The sequence below is a fragment of the Homo sapiens genome, chromosome 4 (assembly GCF_000001405.40).
Source record: "Homo sapiens chromosome 4, GRCh38.p14 Primary Assembly".
Taxonomy (NCBI): Eukaryota; Metazoa; Chordata; class Mammalia; order Primates; family Hominidae; genus Homo; species Homo sapiens.
In genome coordinates this window covers 146946493-146966099 of record NC_000004.12, presented here as the reverse complement: position 1 = coordinate 146966099, position 19607 = coordinate 146946493, and the positions used below count along the sequence as shown (strand labels likewise).

General features: G+C 36.7%; 1 long non-coding RNA gene across 3 annotated transcripts in view, besides 2 other annotated features; it reads right to left on the bottom strand.

Annotated features, from left to right (window-relative positions):
• Positions 1–19607, bottom strand: part of TTC29-AS1 (TTC29 antisense RNA 1) — a 41452-nt gene that overhangs the window by 9356 nt on the left and 12489 nt on the right. Inside the window, exons 3-6 of one of the 3 annotated variants that reach the window (NR_188445.1) lie at positions 14965–15082; positions 8614–8712; positions 6525–6655; positions 3755–3857 (exon numbers count right to left, since the gene is read on the bottom strand). This is a non-coding gene — a long non-coding RNA (TTC29 antisense RNA 1). The remainder of the gene's footprint in view (positions 1–3754; positions 3858–6524; positions 6656–8613; positions 8713–14964; positions 15083–19607) is intronic. The other 2 variants (NR_188447.1, NR_188446.1) reach the window with 2 other exon arrangements.
• Positions 5749–6948: an enhancer, noted in NCBI's record as "BRD4-independent group 4 enhancer chr4:147880304-147881503 (GRCh37/hg19 assembly coordinates)". NCBI's record gives its function as "activates an origin of replication core promoter dependent on BRD2, P300/CBP, MED14 and CDK7 cofactors, and independent of BRD4, by STARR-seq in HCT116 cells {active_cell/tissue: HCT116}" and the evidence as "EXISTENCE:reporter gene assay evidence [ECO:0000049][PMID:35650434]".
• Positions 7741–8940: an enhancer, noted in NCBI's record as "BRD4-independent group 4 enhancer chr4:147878312-147879511 (GRCh37/hg19 assembly coordinates)". NCBI's record gives its function as "activates an origin of replication core promoter dependent on BRD2, P300/CBP, MED14 and CDK7 cofactors, and independent of BRD4, by STARR-seq in HCT116 cells {active_cell/tissue: HCT116}" and the evidence as "EXISTENCE:reporter gene assay evidence [ECO:0000049][PMID:35650434]".

Genomic DNA, 19607 nt, shown 5'->3' with positions numbered 1-19607 from the left:
TGAGTGGGGATACAGCCAAACCCTATCATCATCTTTTTGGACCTTGATTTCCTCTACATGGGAAATCAAGACTAATCATTATTAGTCTAAATCAAGACTAATCATTAGTAGTCTTGATAATTTGGACTAGATGTTCTCCATTTGCCTAGAAAATTTCCCTGGTACTATTGAGCCACTGACAATTATAGAAATTCATTGGCAAATAAGATTTCTGACACCTGTCTAGCCTCCTTGTGGCCATTAGTCATCATTTTATAAGGAAGCTGGTTGGAAGGTAAATGCAGTTTTTGGTCATAAAACGGAGCCAGAAATCTGACTTGCTCTCAATAATCCCATGCTCCCTCACATGATCCACCTTTCCTTATAGAACTCCAGTCAATTGCTCTTCTCATGCTTCACTCCCCTTAGTTTTTAAGTGATAATCAGAAGTGGACTTTTCTTCCATCCTCATTACGGGAAGTATAATTTCATAGTGAATAACTCCTAATCCCCACAGTTCAGAGACCTGGCTATCATATCCAACCCCGTCTCTAGACTTTAGGGTATGCAGTGCTAACTCTTATTGTAACATAACTCAAACATTTGTTCTGATATAACTCTAACTTATTGTAAGATCACTCAAATATGCTATTTCTACCTAACACCTTATTATAATATTTTTCCAAATAGTCCTATTGCTATGTGAAGTCTGTAAGAAGAGAATACAATTTTGTTCTGTTTTCATTATTTTCAGCAGAGAGCTGGGACTCACTTTGACTTTATCCTAAATTCACAGATGGTAGGATGCGTGTTTCTTTATATATAACCAGTGCTCATAACCAACTGTATGAATGAAATGATAAGACAAAGAAACTTTTAAAGTAAACCCTTAATGTAGTATATTTACATACTCTTAAATACCAAATATTTACTAGTTATCTAACACAAACTGGAGTCATTTTGTTGAAACGTAAATCATATACAATATAGTTTATTTTCTCCTAGGAAAAGTATTCATGATGGATAATTATCTTTATTCCCTATCAATTATTCACCATTTTATAACGTTTTGCTGTTTATCATTTTTTCACTTCTTATATTTTTAAATAATTATTAAAAATTTTAATAACCTGTGCTATTGCTAATAACAACTATCAGTGACTTAATTCTGGTTCTCTGAGGGGAAGCTTTCCTTGTTATGTCTCAAACTAGATCCTTTTTCTTCACCTTTTTTTGCATTCTGTTTCAGTGTATCTACCATAAACCCTTTGTTTTCATTTTCTTTCTGAAAAGGTATACTGAAGTTTCTAAAGCTTTCAGACACATAGCTCATACATATGTCTTGAGAAATAGATACAATGAAGGAAGTTTGATATCTTTGTCATGATAATTTAATGGCTATACTACTTGATGTTAGGACGTTTCTCAAAGTTAAATAGTCAGAATAAGATTATAACGTGTGCAGTCATTAAGAATATTTGATCGGCATTGTATGAATCATATATTAAAATGTGTTATGACTTAAATTTAAAACATTAGCTTAAACAATTCTCTATAGAATAAATAATATCTTGACCTAGATTTTGATTATTATCTTTCATTCAATCCAAAGAAGACCTTCAAACTCACTTGCCTGAGGCACTCATAAGCTCTAGGTTTTTCATCCTCATGAAAGAAAGATAAGATTTACTATTGAGAAGTGAGAAATCCTGCAGTAAAAACTCAGTGAGGGTTATCGGTTTGTATCCTTTAACTAAGTCAATCCTGCCTTTGTAGAATCTTAATTTATTATTATCAACTTATTTGCCTCTTCAACTATAGTCCATAATGCCAAACTGATTGTCATGTGTTAGCATTACTACATCTAAAGTATAAGAGAGGGTGCTGTGCTCTAAATGTTTCTGTTCCTTCAAAATTCACGTTGAAATAGTAACTCCCAAAATGATTAGATTAGAAAGTGTGAAATTTGGGAGGTGATTAGATCACAAGGGCAGCACCCTCATGAATGGGATTAGTGCCCTTATAAAAGAGGCCTCAGAGAGACCTTTGTCCCTTCTACCACATGAGGATGTGGCAAGAAGGTGTCATCTATGAAATAGAAAAGTGGACCTTCAGCAGATAACAAATCTGCCGCACTTTGATCCTGGGCTTTTCAGCCTCCAGAACTATGAGAAATAATTTTTTGTTATTTATAAGCCACCATTTTGTGGTATTTTGTTATAGCAGCCTGATTAGACTGAAACAAAGGATAAAGTTTAAGTGTATTCCATCAGCTAATTTTATTTTGGAAGTAATAATTTCTAACTACTAAATTAAAAGTGTATTTGAACAGGTATTACTAATGTCTGAAAACCTGGAAGGTAAAAGATTACTTAAAACCAGTAAAGGGTGAAGGTCAGCCAATAGAGTAGGTTCCTTGGGGCTAGATCAATGGCTCAAGTAGAATGAAGAGGCAGTGGTGAGGGGGCTGTGGGAATGTATGTCCCATGTAGGAGCTGGCCAAAAAGAGGGCTGCTGTGGAACTTGGTTTTACTACATCTACATCACCCCTGCTATTAAATATTTATTTTATATTTTACATATGCTATTGAACATAGTGATAATAGCCTACTGGTTTAAACATTGGCAAAGCAAAATTCTCTGTTTTCATTGTTAGAAGAAAGTTTCTATGTTGATTTCATTGTTTTAATTATATAGCACATTAACACTTCCTCCCTCGATGATTTTCATCCCATTCCTATTTTTAACTACAGCCAGTATTCCAACTACTTCCAAATATGTATAACTGATACTGAGTTCCAGATCTGTTTATTCAATGGCTTCCTTGACATTTCCCCCCGAATATGTAATTGACATCTGAAATTGGACATGTCAAAATACCACCTGATTTTGTCCTTTCTCTGTTTGTTTCACCTGAGTCACCTAGCTTTACCTCTCTTGAGTTCTCCATTTCAGTAAAGGCATCACTGTAGTTCCGGTTGCTGAATCCACATAGCTAGGATTTGGTGAACTCTGCATTCAAACTTTTTCCTGACTCTTCTTCTTTGTCACCACACTCCATTCCTACTACCTTAATCCAAGCCAATCTCTACTGCTTACATAGCTCCAATGACTTTCTAACACACTTAAAATAAAATCCAGTTTCCTTACTATGGCCTAAGGTTCTATGTAGTTACCCCTCTACGTCACCTTCTCTCCCACTGGATCACTACCTACAAACCAAATGTGTATTCTTGGCTCCCGGGCCATTTGTTTGTTTTCTGTGCTCTGTAGCAAATGAGTAGAAACTTAACAACTTACAGCCACATATCTATTATCTCATCATTTCTGTATGATATTTAGCTTAGCTGGGTGCTCTGCATAGTGTCTCATAGGGCTGCAAACAAGGGGTTGGCCAGGACTGGGTTCTCATGTGAAGGTTCAACTAGGGAAGTGTTGTTTCCCACTGGCGTGGTTTTGGAAGCACTCAGTTTCTTGTGGCTGTAGGAGTCATGGAAGCTTACTTTTTTAAAGCCGACAGCAGAGGGATAGAGAGACTACAGTAAGTCTGATAGCAAGATGGATCATCACATAAAATAATTACAGGAGTGACATCCATCATTTTTGTCATGTTATATAGATTGGCTAGAGTAAATCACAGATATCACCTACAATCAATGGGTTGAGATCTTCTAAAGATATGAACACTGGAATGAGGAAATCATGGAAAGGTACCACAGCCAATGCACCAATTCTGCTCCCACCTCCGGAGGTTTGCCTGTCCTATCCCACCTACCTGTGATGCTATCCCCACAGCTCTGTACCTGACTTCTCCATTCCATCATTCACTCAGGTTCCAGCTCAAATATCACTTCACATGGTGGCATTCTCTATTCAATCTAAAGAGACATCCCCAAACACACATATGAGTGTGCACATGCATGCATACACACACACATCACTCTAATTGTGTTACCTTGTTTTATTTGATGCATAGCCTTGAAATCATCTTGTTTACTTATTGTCATAGTCTTGAAATCATCTTGTTTACTTATTGTCCATCTCCCATTCCCCTCAATAGAGTTTAATGTTCAAAAAACCCATTAATCTGAGTGTTTTGTTTAGCACTATATTTAAACAGGCAGAAGTGGCACATAATAGTGTAACTAAGATTGTTAGATAAAAATAAAGGAATATTGGAATAATTTGCTTATGCCTTACAATTTTACTTGGGATAAAGAACTGAATTATGAGATTCCCATCTGAAAATCAAAAAATAAAATTGATCAAAATCTTGTTCTAAAGATCAGTTTGCTAATGTGACTAGCAGTGTGTAAAAATCAGTACTTGGAAGATTGAGGTCTGAATTAAAATTCATAATTATGTATCCCTTCTTATTGTAAAAGGTTTATGAAGAAAAAGCATGGGACTTGTAAAACTTTTATTTCTTCAGTGATAATTATATTCCTAAATTTACAATACATATTTACATGAGGATCAGAGTCTTCACATGTTTATACTAGTTTGTCATTTTGTGAATTTTGCAGATTCAAGTCACAAAATTTCAACTTCATTTAAATAACACATGTCTTTCCAAGCTGGAAAAATAAACAAATTAATTGACTGAATACTCATTACAACAGATACTGAAGTAGGCTGTTCTGTAGAGTTTTATGGGATTTTCAGATGGGAATTTCATAATTCAGGTCTTTATCCCAGTATTGGGTAGGAACACTAGCTCAGTGTCTAGCTTACAGCTTTGCTGATGCAACAACAAATATTTACTAGTTCACCAAGAAGTAATTAGGAAGTAGAAACCGATTTACAATGGTCAACATTCTAAAGACTAGTGTTTACACACTAGATTGCCAGTTTATGTTCAAATCTGTATTTGACAAGGCAACAAATCCTAATCCCTTAACTCAAGACAGAACTTCCTTTTTCAATGCATAAAGCAAATTGTCAGTCAGAAAGTCTACTGGCAAGCACAGAATTAGAAAGGAGTCAGATATCCTTAAAAGACATGTCTACCGTGCTTTGGCCACCTATAGGATCACATTACTCTAGTGATATCTCTGGCTACATGACTAGAATTGACCTTTGGAGTCAGCCCTAGTGTCTCTGGACACTGCTGGAGGGCACTTGGTCTTTCTCACCTTCTGCCTTCTGCTGTTTTTAGCAATCATGACATTATCTCTTCTAGGCAACTTATATTGCAGTGGAATCTATTATAGCCACAATTTTCTAAAAATACATCTAGGTCTTTATAGCCACAAGTCCTCAGTCTCAGGGGCAATGCTTTTAAAAGCTGTTTCATACAATGGGCTATTTTTATAGATGCTTGGTCTCGCCTATAATGGTTGATTTTTACAGCTCTCAGTTTCATTTAAAAACTTCTTCCTTTCCCCTTCTCAAGCCCTCCTGTACCCTTTTTGGCACCTGTAGCTTCTGTGAACCGACTATATGTGTGGCTTTTTACTTATTAAATAATCATCTGCTTAGCTAGTTTTGGTGGCACTAATAGGGAAAATATTTTCATTATAAATTCTATCAATATTTTAGAATAAGCTATTGGAAAACATCTGCAATTTTCTATCACAATTTTCAACTTATTCTCTCTGAAACAGAAAGTAATGAAGAGAAAAATGGAAATACTGAAATAAACATTTGGGGTGTCAATTTCCTTGAAAATATTTTATTCTCCCTTCAGTGTGTTGCTGAAGCAGTACACAGATGTGCTCTTCTGGAATCTATGTGTTTAATGATTTGTGTGATGAGCTGTATCTATTAAGAAGCTGACAATGGTAGTTTAATCTTCAACGATACTGCTCTCTCTGTCTCATCTCTCATTCTGCATGTTGTAAAAAAAGGAGAAGTGATTTGGAGAATTTTCGAGGCTTATTATGTATTTCAAGTGATACACCCATTGTTTTGTCTTCTGATCACAAACCAGTAATAATCATCAGCCGAGCAAGATTCTGCTTAAACAAAACTATGCCTCCTGCTATGAATACTGTGCAAAATTAAGTGGATAAAGTAAGTCCATTTTGTTTGTGGTAAGCTCTTACTCAGTTAAAACAACCTAGTCAGATATGCTTCTGCATGTGTAAGGGTCTGTTCTTTTCACAAAACCTCCCACCATTTCAAAAGCAGTTTCTAGCTGAACTATAAAATACTATGTTATTCCACTTGTTGGGATTGGCAAAGAGCCAACTTGAGCAATGAGAGAAGCACTTCAGGAGTTTTGGAAGGCAGGAAGGGGAGCAGCAATGACTCCAGGGGTGGGAACCAGGCTGAACAGGGTGCTGAGACCATGCTGTTCTTTCTGGAGGGAGGAAGTAAGTTAGTGAAAGATACAATGATGAAGGGCAAGTACAAAGATTTGAGCAGCACATTAATGATGTGAAAGGTGCAGGGCGGTTTGGGCAGATGATATTAGAAATGTCAATAATGCATACAGCTTGCTAATCAAATTGATTGCAATTGTCAGTAGGTGGTAGCCAATCAGACGATATAGAGACCGTATTAATGATGTGATCTGGAAGAGTCGCGAAGAGACCACTCACCTTCAGAGGAATCATTCCCATCTGTGAGACATCACTGCTCAAAGTCGGTAGCGCATGGTGATCAGGAGCAAGGACTTTGGAGTCAGAACACCTGAATAAATCCCAGCTGTGTCATTTATTATCCGGGAAAACTGAAACAATACAGCAGAACTGGATACATGCTGCATGGCAAGTAGCTTGCCAAAGCAGAGTCAGGGCTATTCCTGCTCAGACCTAAAACAAAGTACTCAAACTGTACATGGCAGATTGGTACTGGCTTCGGATGTCTTCCAGAGAAATGCATTCAATGCAGGTAGTAAGAGCACTTCTCCCCCAAAAGTCTGTCAAATCACCCATTCAGAACAGGCACAGTATTAATCAGGGTCTTATTTGCAAAGAGCAGAAACCAACTCTGGCTAATATAAGCAGATATAATTTCACTGGAATCATAGTGGATCTTTCACAGAATAGTCACAGCTGGAGAACAAACTTGAAGCCTACAGTGATGTCCAACATCATGCCTCATAGCTGGTCCTGGGAACACTCTGGTGTGCTGGGAACTCATACTTCACCTTGGACTTTCAACTCCATTACTCCTGGCCCTTAGCTCTATACAGTGCTGCCTCTGAAAACTGGATGTGGGGGCTACCACTGCTCTGAGCCTTGCCAGTTCTGCATAACCATTATGTCTTTGCATGACTCCTTTCTGGTTCAGATGCTGGGGCAAACGTGCCTAATTGGCTGAAACTGGCAATGTATCCATGACCTCATTGCAACAAAGTCTGGGAAAGTAACTTTTTGGCATATTGAGCTTCTGTAAATGAAAGTGGACTCTTCATAGGGTGCAAGATTTCCCAAACATAGGCAGAAGGTACAGATGCTGTGTAACCAAAAAGAATGCCAAATTCCCACTATGATCTACCCCTCTGGCTGCCCAACATCAACATACACCGTAATTCCCTTATTTAAATATTCTTTACCAAACCAAAACCATGACCACTCCATTCTCAAAAGGGGTCAACTAAAAAATCTCATTTGTTACTGCAGTTATATCCGCATGCAAGATTGCTCAGTAATGTCCATTCTTTCTCAAGTTCTGGTATGATCTCAGCTCAATATTCTGGATAGGTGGTGCAAGTTTTTTTCTACAACTTGTCATGCATCTTAAGTATGCAGCAATCTTCCTTCTCCACTATATGTTTTCTTTTATTTTTTTGAGCTGGTCGAGGTTCTTTATCTGATGGAATAACTTGAACATTCATTCCAAATGGATACAAGCAATTGGTGTTCCAAATCATATGAGATCATTGTGGTCTTCTAATAATTTTAACCATTAGATATAGAAGTTCTATAAGGCACTCCAGGAACCGCTTGGGTTTCATCAATAATTCCCCTTTTCTCTTGATGGTTCAGATCAATCATCTTATCTAATACCACAACTTCTTTGAGGAGCTCAAGATATCAGGTGGCAGACTCAGTATCCAACTCAACAGAAGCAAAGTTGTGTCCCTTTGTAAAATCATTTCTCCGTTTGGTACTAAGAACTCAGCACATTCCAGAGTTGTGCTGCTGAGAATTTCTGCAAACCAAATATTAGGTATAATATCAAGCAGTGCCACTCTCTGTTCTACCTTTTGGTTCTGGAATTCAAGTATCCTGGCTATGGGAAACAGCACAATACACTGATTTCGAGTTCAGAGTACATATTATATCTTATAGGACTACACCTTAAACTTAGAAGCTAGTGTGAGGCAGCTGGAGCTCTGAGTCTTCATTTGTTTCCTTCTGTAACATCACATGTTTCTGGATGATAGGTGATGTGTAAAAGCAAAAAATTCCTGAACATCAACAAACCCCCTTACTCCTTCCCCTAAAAGCCATTTGTGTTGTGGCCATAAACAAGACATTTATAAGTCCATTTATGATGTGGCTCTCAGTAGCACATCCAATAGAGAAGGTAAATCCATATGCAGAATACATGTCTATTCTAGTTAGGGCAAAACACTGCCTTCTCTGTCACATAGGGGATATAATATAACCGATTTACTACTAGTTAGTCCGTTGGCCCTCCCAGGAAGTGGTATCCTATCAGGAATCTGGGGTTGCTCACCATTGCGTGCAAAATGGGTTCTCAGCAATGGCAAAGGCCACGTCATCCTGGTGAGGGGAAATCCTTGTTACTGTGCTTATTCATGTGTCATCTCCATTCCTGCCAATACAATCATGTAGTTCATAAATCATTGAGTAAGCACTGAAATAAATTGACCTCCACTGGGCAGGAAATTATATCCACCTGGTCTTTTAAAGCCTCTTCTGCCTATTCTGGGTAATTTTTTGGTGGACAAGAGGATATATCTTTCAATGTTCTGACCCCAGGAGGACTAGGCTCTACCATTTGGAATTCTGACCTTGTATAATATGATATAAATGTTGAAGAGAATTTAGGAAAGCTTTTAGATGTGTTGGTCATGGTCTTTCAAGAAGTTGATGCAAAAATGGGCTACACTTGCAAAGATTTTATTTGAGAAAAATGCCCATTTGAAAGAAAACAGGGAGGGAGATGAGAAAGCTGAGAGCCATCAGACTGTGATGCAATTTTGACACCAAATGAAGAGGAAATGGTTAAGTGGAAGTACACTACACTGCTTAAAGGTTTGGGAAAGCCTTAGGAGAATTCTTAAGCTAAGCTTAGCCTTCGAGGAGTCTAGTGTCTCTCAGGAATTGGTCTGCATCTGTACTCCTGCTGCACATAGTCGTTGGCTGGAAACAACACAGAAGAGGCATGGAAGCTACAAATTTCTAAACACAGTATCTTGGGCTCTTGGCTAATTACACTCCCTATAGTTAGTGGTCTGTGAAGTTCATTTTCATGGTCACTACAATAGAGACTAGAACTTCACCTATCCAATTAGTCCAGAAATAAAATATGAAGATATTATTGCTAAAATTGTTAAAAGAACCACTAGCACTTTGCTTTGTAATATCCGAAATCATCGAGTAAGCACTGAAATAAATTTGTTAGGTTATTGCTATGATCTGAATGTGTCCCCTAAAATTCATATGTTGAAACTTGATCACCTATGAGATAGTATTAAGAGGTGGGGTCTTTAAGAAGTGATTAAGTCATGAGGGAACAAGTCATCATTCCAATGGTGGGATGATGGTCCTTACAACAGGGCTTGAGGGAGTGCTTTCTTCCATTCTTTCAACATGTGAGGACACAGTGTTCATTCCCTCAGGTGAATGCAACAATAAGGCACCATTCTGGAACCAGATACTGTGCCCTCAGCAGACACCAAACCTGCTGGCATCTGTATCTTGGACTTCCCAGCCTTCAGAACTGTGACAAATAAATTTCTATTATTTACAAGTTACCAAGTCTGTGGTTGTCATAGCAGCACAAACTGACTAAGAGTGTTACTAGCAGTTTCATCAATATTCTATTTTCTCTTACAGTTCCTATAATACTTAAAAATTTTTAATAAACCACATGGCCCTCTAATTACTACAGTAATTAAGAGAGTAAAGATAGAGCTACCATCAAGAGAAGCCAGTGGTTACTAAATTGGCCCTCAGAAGATGGTCTTTTTCTGGATGGGCCACTCTAGCCAATCTGTTTCCCCTTTTTGCAGGTCCGGAAGCTCTGCAGTACAGAGTGGTGATCAATGGTAGTAAAGGCTTTAACCCAAAGAAACCAAATTCACATATGCTGATACAAAAACCAAATGTCATTACATTAACTTACAGTGAGAACATAATTTTGAGGAGAGCCTAAATATTTATGTCATTAATTAGAATGTACTTTTCATCCACTTAGAAATCTCTACATGGAGAAAAAAATGTGTACCTATGTGATTGCTTGGTGAGCATGGGATAAAAGGAAAGGAGTTAATTAAAGGCAGTGTGATTTAAGAGAAAAGCTTTGGAGTCAGGTAGACCAAGGCTCTTTGTAGAATACTCTTATAACCAATTTTATCCATATAGGACTAATGACTTTTTTATTTTATTTTCTCTAAATAACGAGTTTTATTTTAATCTTCTGGAGGGGCATTCATAGTTCTCCCATGTCCTGACTGTAACTAATTCTATAAAATCAATATCAATTATAATCTCAAACTAAACTAATGAATATGTTATGATGTGTTCAGTTTTTTATTGTCTTGGTTGGAGCTCAAAATTTTATGTTGCTACATTGTTTCATGTCTGGCATTATCTTTCACAGCTCTCTGCCCTTGCATTCTAGAATTCACATGTATCAAGCAAGCCATTCTATTCCAATCCTCAGTACCTGGCACACCTCTATTTATTTTTCAAGGCTCAAAATCACATTACAAGCATTATTCCCTCTGTGAAGTCTTCCATTACCTCTCAACTTCCAGCCAGTCGTGGGAAGCTAGATGGCCCCTCCTTGGGGCAGCAATTGAGATGTCATCTGTACAGAGCTTATCACATGGAACTGTGGCTATGGGACCGGGCTGATTCATGGAGGAGCATCAGCCACGATGGTCTGTGCTGTGCCAGATTCCACTGGACTAAGTTAGTTACCTGCTTCCAGTAGTTATGCAAACTGACTGGAGGCAGGTAACTAATGGGTGGTGAATGCCAAGAAGGTCTGAGATCTGTGCCCGAAGAGCAAGAGTCAGATCTGGGTAGTGAGTTTAAGGTCTTAAATAGGAAATTAGGAGCAGAGAGAATTTGGAACAGATTGGGGAGTGGGGTGGGAGACTTAGGTCTAAGACTTAGGCTATTAAGAAAACAAAGACATCAGTCTAGTTCTCTCTGTTCCTGGTGCAAAGAGATCACAGAAATTAGAGGCAAATAAATAGTTGTCTCTTTTGCCTGTCTGTCTTAACTTCTAGCCTGTGAATTCATTGAGGACATGGCTTATCTTAATATTCCCACCCTAGCAGAGTACCTGGCTGGTTGAAATAATGAATGGGCTGATGGACTTAGACATTCAAATTCAGTACTTAGGGTTGCTACTCCATATTTTTTTCTCTGTTATATCTAATTCAGCTTTTATTTATAACCTTATTGTAAAAATTGTTTCCCTGTGAGACTATAATGAAAGTTATAGTAGAATTTTACCAAATGTGACATTTGTCCTCTTGTTTATAACAATCTCTAAGAAATATCATTATATTCTATATATTTTTCATAAATTTTGAATTTCCTTTGCATATACATGGTTACTTTTTTGTCCTTGGAAAATGAGAACTTCATTTCTTAATTATATTGGACAAATATTAACATGTCTCTTAATATCTAAGAATGCCATTTGTTACATATATAAGTAGCTGGATATAATGTACACACATAATTAAGATTTAAATATATTTGGACAACTATTGAAGCATATTATTTTGTAGATATTTGTCTCCACCTATAGAAAACATTGCCCATGTAATTTTATCAATTACATAGAGGCACAAAATGATGAAGATGAGTAAAATTAACAATAAAGTATATTTGGATATTCATGTTCAAGTGTTATTTTTAAAAATTAGCAGATTTAGCAATCTGAGACAACAGAATTGGACCAAAACAGGACCCAAAGTATGAAGATGCTAAAAAAAAATTGGTAAGTTTAATACCCACTGATGTTTATAAGATAAATTATAAAGTAAAGCTGATTCTTTGTGTACTTTGGATTTAAAAACAATATGATTTGTATACATTGAGGAAAAAAAAAAAACAAGGAAATGCTCATAAAATGCCATATGAGGTAGCCTAGATTTTCAAGCTAGCTTCTGATGGCTTTCCAGAGCTTTTTGGATGTTGATAGTTTTTGTTTGTTTGTTTGTTTTTGTTTTTTGAATCGGAGTCTCCCGCTGTCACCAGGCTGGAGTGCAGTGGCACCATCTCAGCTCACTAAAACCTCCACCTCCTTGGTTCAAGTGACCTTCCTGCCTCAGCCTCCCGAGTAGCTGGGACTACAGGTGCACTCCACCAAGCCCAGCTATTTTTTCTTATTTTTAGTAGAGATGGGATTTCACCATGTTGGCCAGGATGGTCTCAATTTCTTGACCTTGTGATCCGCCTGCCTCAGCCTCCCAAAGTGCTGGGATTACAGGCATGAGCTACTGTGCCCTGCCAGATGTTGATAGTTTTAAGGAAATCATTTCTCAGACCTTCGACTTTCAAATGTGCTCCTTTCCAAAATTGCCGCCTGAGGACTATATGGCCTCAGTGTGCTGCTTCTCCTTTGCCAGTCCCATTTCATTTTACAAAATCCTACCAAAGGGACACTTTGGGAATGCATAATTAAAAAACTCTTTGCTGACTCTCCTTGATTAGATCTTAAAAGTTATTTTTGTAGATTCTTTTAAAAGCAAAACACTTATGACAATTACAAGAGAGTTATATATGTAGGTGAAATCTATAAAAAGGCTTTCAACTCAAAATTCAGTAAAAAGTTATTACTTGCAAGCATCGATAAGCAAATGTGTTTTTTTTGTTTGTTTTACCTTAGAAAACCTAGTGCAGTGCACTGTTTATGTAAGATCGATAAATATTGACTTCTCTACCTGACTTGTTATACAAATGGAAAATGTTTGAAACTCATAAAATATTTTACAATATTTTCAGCCAGGCCAACAACACATCATCATTTGATACTGTATGAATAAAATATTTAGGCCTTAATTTCTTAAACCAATTTTATAAAATATCTATGTAACAATAGAAAAATTAATGTAATTGTTATGTAGGCTCTTTAATGCAATTTATCAAATGAATCTGAGAGCTTCAACTACTTCTTTAGAAAAAGTGTAATATTCTGAAAAGTTCTGTGTAACTGATATTATCTGTAATTAACAGCTACTAATTTGTGTTTTTTAAATAATTTTATCTCATTTGTATCATCTAATGCTTTCTAAATTATTGTATACATTAGTATTCTTTGGTTGTAAATAATAAAAATCAACTCTGTCGACCTTTAGAAAAATTAATTCATTGGAATAATATCAGGGGCTCACAAAATCATTGCAAAGCTGAAAAGCCAGACTTGAGAAGGGTAGATATCAAGGCAGATCCTGGGGCTAGAAAATAAGAACTGCAGTAATTCTCATGGTAGGGTGCAAATGCAGAAGTTATGAGAAGCTAATTCATATCAGATTCCAAAATCCAAACGATAGGCAAATAAGCATTTTGCCTGGTTGTGCAAATTTCAACAAATTATACTTCATTTTGGAGTATCCCTCCATGTAACACTCCTTCCCAACCAAACAAAAACAAAAACAAACAGTGAAACAAAATAAAAAACAAAACAAAAACCGTCACTAAGATGAAAGACTCCTGTGTTTTCATAAGATTTATATCATTTATTTTGGCATGTATTGATAGTACCAAGACATGTAGGGTGCCTGCTATTTCCTGCTTTCCAAGTCTTTTAGAATACCTATCAGTACAATGATGCTGCATGTTATTGCATAATATGGTAAGATAATTTAGGTCCCTGTGGGTTAAATTTCATCAAAGAGGCAGGGTTGATGGGTTACAAGGTTGGAAAACAAAAGTATACTGCTATCCCTGCTACATAGAAGCAAATTACTTCTATTTTTTTTTTCCATTCATCAAAATGTAGGGGAGAAACAGTATATGGTGTGTATCAGGTTGCTCCAGGAAAAAAGGCTGTATCAGGAACAGTAGAACATTTAAAGTTACCATCAGATTAACATATTCCTTTTCAAGATACATGTATTTTGTTCAGCTAACTCAGAGACAAAATAGGAATATGCTAGGAATGATCACCCCTAAAATATTCAAGTCTGAAATTCCCCTGGAGATTATTACTTTTGATTTACTATTTTGGTAGGAAAGTGTGGGGTTAGCTTGCAGTTGGCCTGTGGTAGCTTTATGTTTATCTCCAAAGATGGTTGGAGTCACAGTACTCTCTTTTAGCCAAGACAGAAATGAAATGCACTAGCTAGTGATATATAACATGCTATTTATATCCTGAAGCTCCCTTGAATGCACTCTGTACTAGCTTGTCTGCATCATTTTTTTAAAAATACAGATTGGTAATCTTCACCTGTGTTATCTGATACGTAGACAGGTTTTGGCTATGTGATCAGTGGAATATAAAAGATCCCTTGGTAAACTTTTGCTGTGAAGATGAAGTGCATTCTGCACGACAGCGGGAGGACCAAAGAAGTTGTACCTGAATGTTCAGGACCAACCTGAAGTTGCCTTGTGCTTTCTTGTCCCTGATTCTGTGTAGCCTTTGCTTATAGAAAATCTTTCTGAGTAAACATCACCAGAGTCTAGTAAGTCCTTTCAATTATCTGACCCAGAGCTTCTTTGACCCCTTTTTTAAACCATAATAACCTTTATTCCATAGGTTAGATGGCCACTAAAAACTTATGCCATTTTTTGCATATATCTACACACTCAGAGGAATAACCATAGGATGGGCTCAGAGTCTACTAGGTCTATTATAGAATTAAAAAAATTAATTTACCTGATATCCATTGATAAGTTCATTCTGGGTCCCTGGAAATTAGTATTAGCTCAGAGTTAACATCTAATGTCGAGCAATCCAAAAGTTTTGGATATAATCTTTTCCCCAGTGCAGTTACCTAAGTAAATAAATACAGTTACCTTTGAGAAAAAATAGGAGAAAGATTCACAGTGTGCACTTGTGATGTTATTTCTGGACCCCAGGGTTCAGAGCGCTTTCATTCAATGTGCTATGAATCTAGTCTTAGAACATAGTCAGAGACCAGTACTCTCTACTCTCCATTGCGGTAAATCAGGTCAGGCCTCTGTTTACCAGATTTAGGAGATTTTACTTTCCTCTTTTCTCATACAAATCAAATTCGAAGTAGATTACCCATTATTTGATTCCTAACAGTGTCATAACCAATTAATCATAATTGTAGATCTCTGTAGATCAGGTCATACTAATTAACACTATGGCATTCCTGTATGTTTATGGTAAATACACCAAATATCCCATGAGATTTGATAATCTAGCCTTTCTTTCCTGGAAACATTGACACTCCATTGAAGTCAAGGTGCCCATTTCAGTTTAACATCTCCCACTAGCGCTGTTAAACAAGGGAAACAAAATAATAAAGAACTTAGAAAGTCTCTGGCTTTGTAGATCTCAAATCCTTGAGGAATGGAAAATTTCAACATGGTCTTAAGAGAACACAGTTAGGAGGTAAGACATAATGATGTATGCTAGCATTCCTGTTTCTGAAAGACTTTAAATTAAACTTTTTTTTTTCAACACAACTTGCTTTAGAGTTGGGAAGGTTTGCATTACCCAAACCAGAAAACTGTCAAATATACTTAGTCACCCAAAATAACACGTGGAATTTAGAATCTCTGGAAAACACACTCATTTGACAAATTTATTTTTTCTAATATTGTATTCCAACCTTTTTGTTGAAGAATCCTCAAAAATCTATTCTGAAAGAAAACAATGTCCTTGGAGTTTTACTGATATAAACTAGCAAATTCATCCTTCTCTCTCTGTGTGTGTGTATGCGCGTGCCCGTCTGTGTTTACAAGAGCCTTCTGAGATTTGGATATTTAAACTATTGTCCCCTAGGACATGATGGAATTCACTTCTAATGACAGATCTGGATAGGCTGGGTAAATAAAAATGTATTGTATTTTTTCTTCAAGAGAACCACCTTAGGCAAAGAAGTAGCAGTGTCTTCAAGCAAGGAAAGAACAGCTATATCAGTCAAGAAAGGGGAATTTTCTGAGCAAAGATGCCTCAGTGGTAAATGCTTAATAGGGGCTTTGCACTTTAGGCTACTAAGTCTTCTCTGAATATGCCTAGATAGCACAATTTCCATTGTTAAAAATTTAACCACTAGGTTCCCCATTTGACCCCCTCATCCCTGTGCAGGCTTTCTTTTGATAAGATGTAATAGCTGGATCACCAATGAGGCAATCTTGGGAATGCAATCCATGTGCAGTGAAGCTAAAAACAGAAGAAACTAGGAATCTGACACCATGGAGTGTCATTCCTATTCTGTAGTTTGCTTGTTTGTTTGTTACTCACAGCTGAACCTAATGCTAATTAACAGAGTAACCAAATACAATATGGTACCTAATACAGAAATTTCAACATTAACAAAAGAAACACTTTCCCTGGAAGAAAAGATAATTTAACAAAAAAAAAAGGGCAACTTTTGAGGTGCTATTCCACCATAAAAAAATATGAGATCCTGTTATTTGCAACAACATGGATGGAACTGGAGGTAATTATGTTAAGTGAAATAAGCCAGGCACCGAAAGATAAACTTCACATGTTCTCACTTATTTGTGGGAGCTCAAAATTGAAACAATTGAACTCATGGAGAGAGAGAGTAGAAGAATGGTTACCAGAGGCTGGGAAAGGTAGTGAGGGGGTGGGGTTGGGAGTGGGGATGGTTAAAGGGTACAAAAATATAGTTAGAAAGAATGAATGAGATCTAGTATTTGATAGCATAACAGAGTGACTGCAGTCAATCATAATTTAATTCTACGTTTAAAAATAAGAGTATCAGTTGGATTGTCTATAACACAAAGGATAAATGCTTGACGTGATGGGTACCCCATTTACTCTGATGTGATAATTACACATTTTATGCCTATATCAAAATAATTAATGTATTCCATAAATACATACACCTACTATGTACCCACAAAAATTAAAAATAAAAAGATAACTTTAAAAAACAAATTAATATATTCAGAGATAATTGCAAAATATTACATTAATAAAAGAGTCTATAAAGAAGGAGCAATCAGAAAGCAAGAACGCTCAAAGACCAAGAATGTGACTCCTTCTATGTACAAGCAAATCAATTAAAGACTAAAAAGCAATATTGTCAAAAACTTACAGACTTTAGAATATAAAGGCAAAAAGGATAAAAATCTTTTTTAAAAAATCAAGGATAAAAAAGACAAATCTAGGGATCTGCATTCACTAAACAGAATCTTAAAGAAATAATAGAACAAATTCAAGACAAGGAAATTATAATTTAAAAAATAGAAGACAATTATCTAAATCTGAAGAAGGATGTGAGTACTCAGCTGAAGAGTTCTACCATAAAATTTGAGAACAAAAAGGATAAAGTAACCTAAAAATGCCTGTGTTGAGGGGAAAAACCAAGTCTACGACCATCATTATGACTATTAAAGGATAATCTGGTCTTTCAGGCACAGGTGAAATCGTGCATACCTGCTTTCTTAAAGTTGAGCATGGCTACTTCAGTTGTGGCCAACGAAATGTGAAAGTGATGGATACCCTTTTGGATGAAGCCTTTAAAGCTAATGTGCAGTTTACTCTCATGATCTCTCTGCTACAGACCAGCCATCCTCCAGGTGGCAAAGGTTCTCTCATATTGATTCTGCTGTGGCATAGCATGGAGCAAAACCCAAGGCTGACTTGTGATGGTGACATACGGTAATCAATCAATAAATTTTGTTGTTTTAGGCCACACAGATTTGTGGTTGTCAATTTGTGGTTGTCACTGCATATGGATCTTACTACTACATCACATACAAAGGAAGGACAATAAAATTGCCACTAGACTTCTCATCCCAAACACTGGATACTAGAAAACAGTGAAATAATACCTTCTAAATTCAGAGGGAAATGATTGTTAATCTAGAATGTGCAATCCTACCAAATGATTGTAGGCAAAATAAGGATATTGTCAGACATGAAAGAACTTAAAATTTTATCTCATATGTTCTTTCCTAAGATGTTACTTGGGGATGTGTTTAGTAAAACAAGAATGATTCAGAATAATTTTACTGTAGAAATTGATGATTGAGATATCAAAAACACTTTGAGAACAATTATGGGGAGCAGTTAAGATGGATTGGCTTCCATTAGAAAATTGTCTCTTGCTTCTTTAGGGAGCTGACCTAACCTAAAATCATTTCTCCAGAGCAAGACTGGAAGAGGAAACTTTAGAGGTTGTTATGTCAGTAATAGCATTCAAACTATCAGTTGTGTCACCTGACCTTCCCCCTAGAATTCTAGGTGGAGAAGATTGAGGAAGCAATGAGAAGAATTACACAAGGAAGAATCTGTTTGAAAAACCACTCTATTCTGTCATTCTGTTAATTCAAAAAATATTTTTGAGCACATACTGTATACTAATCCTTGCATACGGTACAAGGGAATTCAGAAAACAATAAAACAAAGTCTCTGCTTTCAAGGTACTCACAATCTTTCAGGCAAGTTTGGTTCCCATAAGCCAAACACCATGCAAAGTTATACTGATAAAATCAAGGTAGGTCTAAGAGAAAGGAGGCGAGAGGAGGAGAAATTAATTCTGTGTAGTGAAAGGAAGAGGTATTCTGGAATCCTCAAAACTTTCAGAAAGGCCTGAGTTTCTAGATAAAGTTGCAGCTGAATCTGGCATCCTTTGGTTTTCATCAGTTTCCTTTTTTGCTTAAGCCCGTTTGTGTTTTCTGTCACTTGCAAACAAAGTTCTCTAACTGAAGGAATTCTATGCTAAACAGAAGGAGAAAGAGAGTTAGTCAAAGAACTTCTAGTGAAAAAACAGCAAGTAGGAGAAGTAAGTCCAAAGAAGCAGGAAGGAACTACCTAGAAAGCCAACTAAGACAGCCTCCTGTGAGAAAGGAAGGTGCATGGAATTCACAAACAGACTCTAAGTCAGAAAAAGCAGCAAGGACTGGAAAAGAATTCACACAGGTCACAGTGGAGTGTGTTAAGGTGATGCTGAAACTGGAAAATAAACTCATGAGAATAGAATGAGAGTCTTACTGGTGTGGGGGATGGGGTGGAGCCCAATTACAGATAGTCACAGTGCTCATTGAATGTATAATGTAAACATACTTGGAAATAATTTAGTAATTTGTTACAGCAAATGAGATGTTAGAATGAAAGTGTGGTTATGGTTGATATGCTTGTACTCTAAATAGAATCGATTTATGGTTAATAGAATGATTCGTGTGAGCAATATCGCTGGCTCGTTCTCCTACAATGTGTGTCAGTAGACAAGGAACAATAGCCTAACTTTCCAGCACTTCTGTATTTTAGAAGTAACAAGTGGCAAGCCTCACTCTCTTGCCCCATATATATATGAGGGAATGAGCAAGGAATTTCACTTCCTTGCACTCATG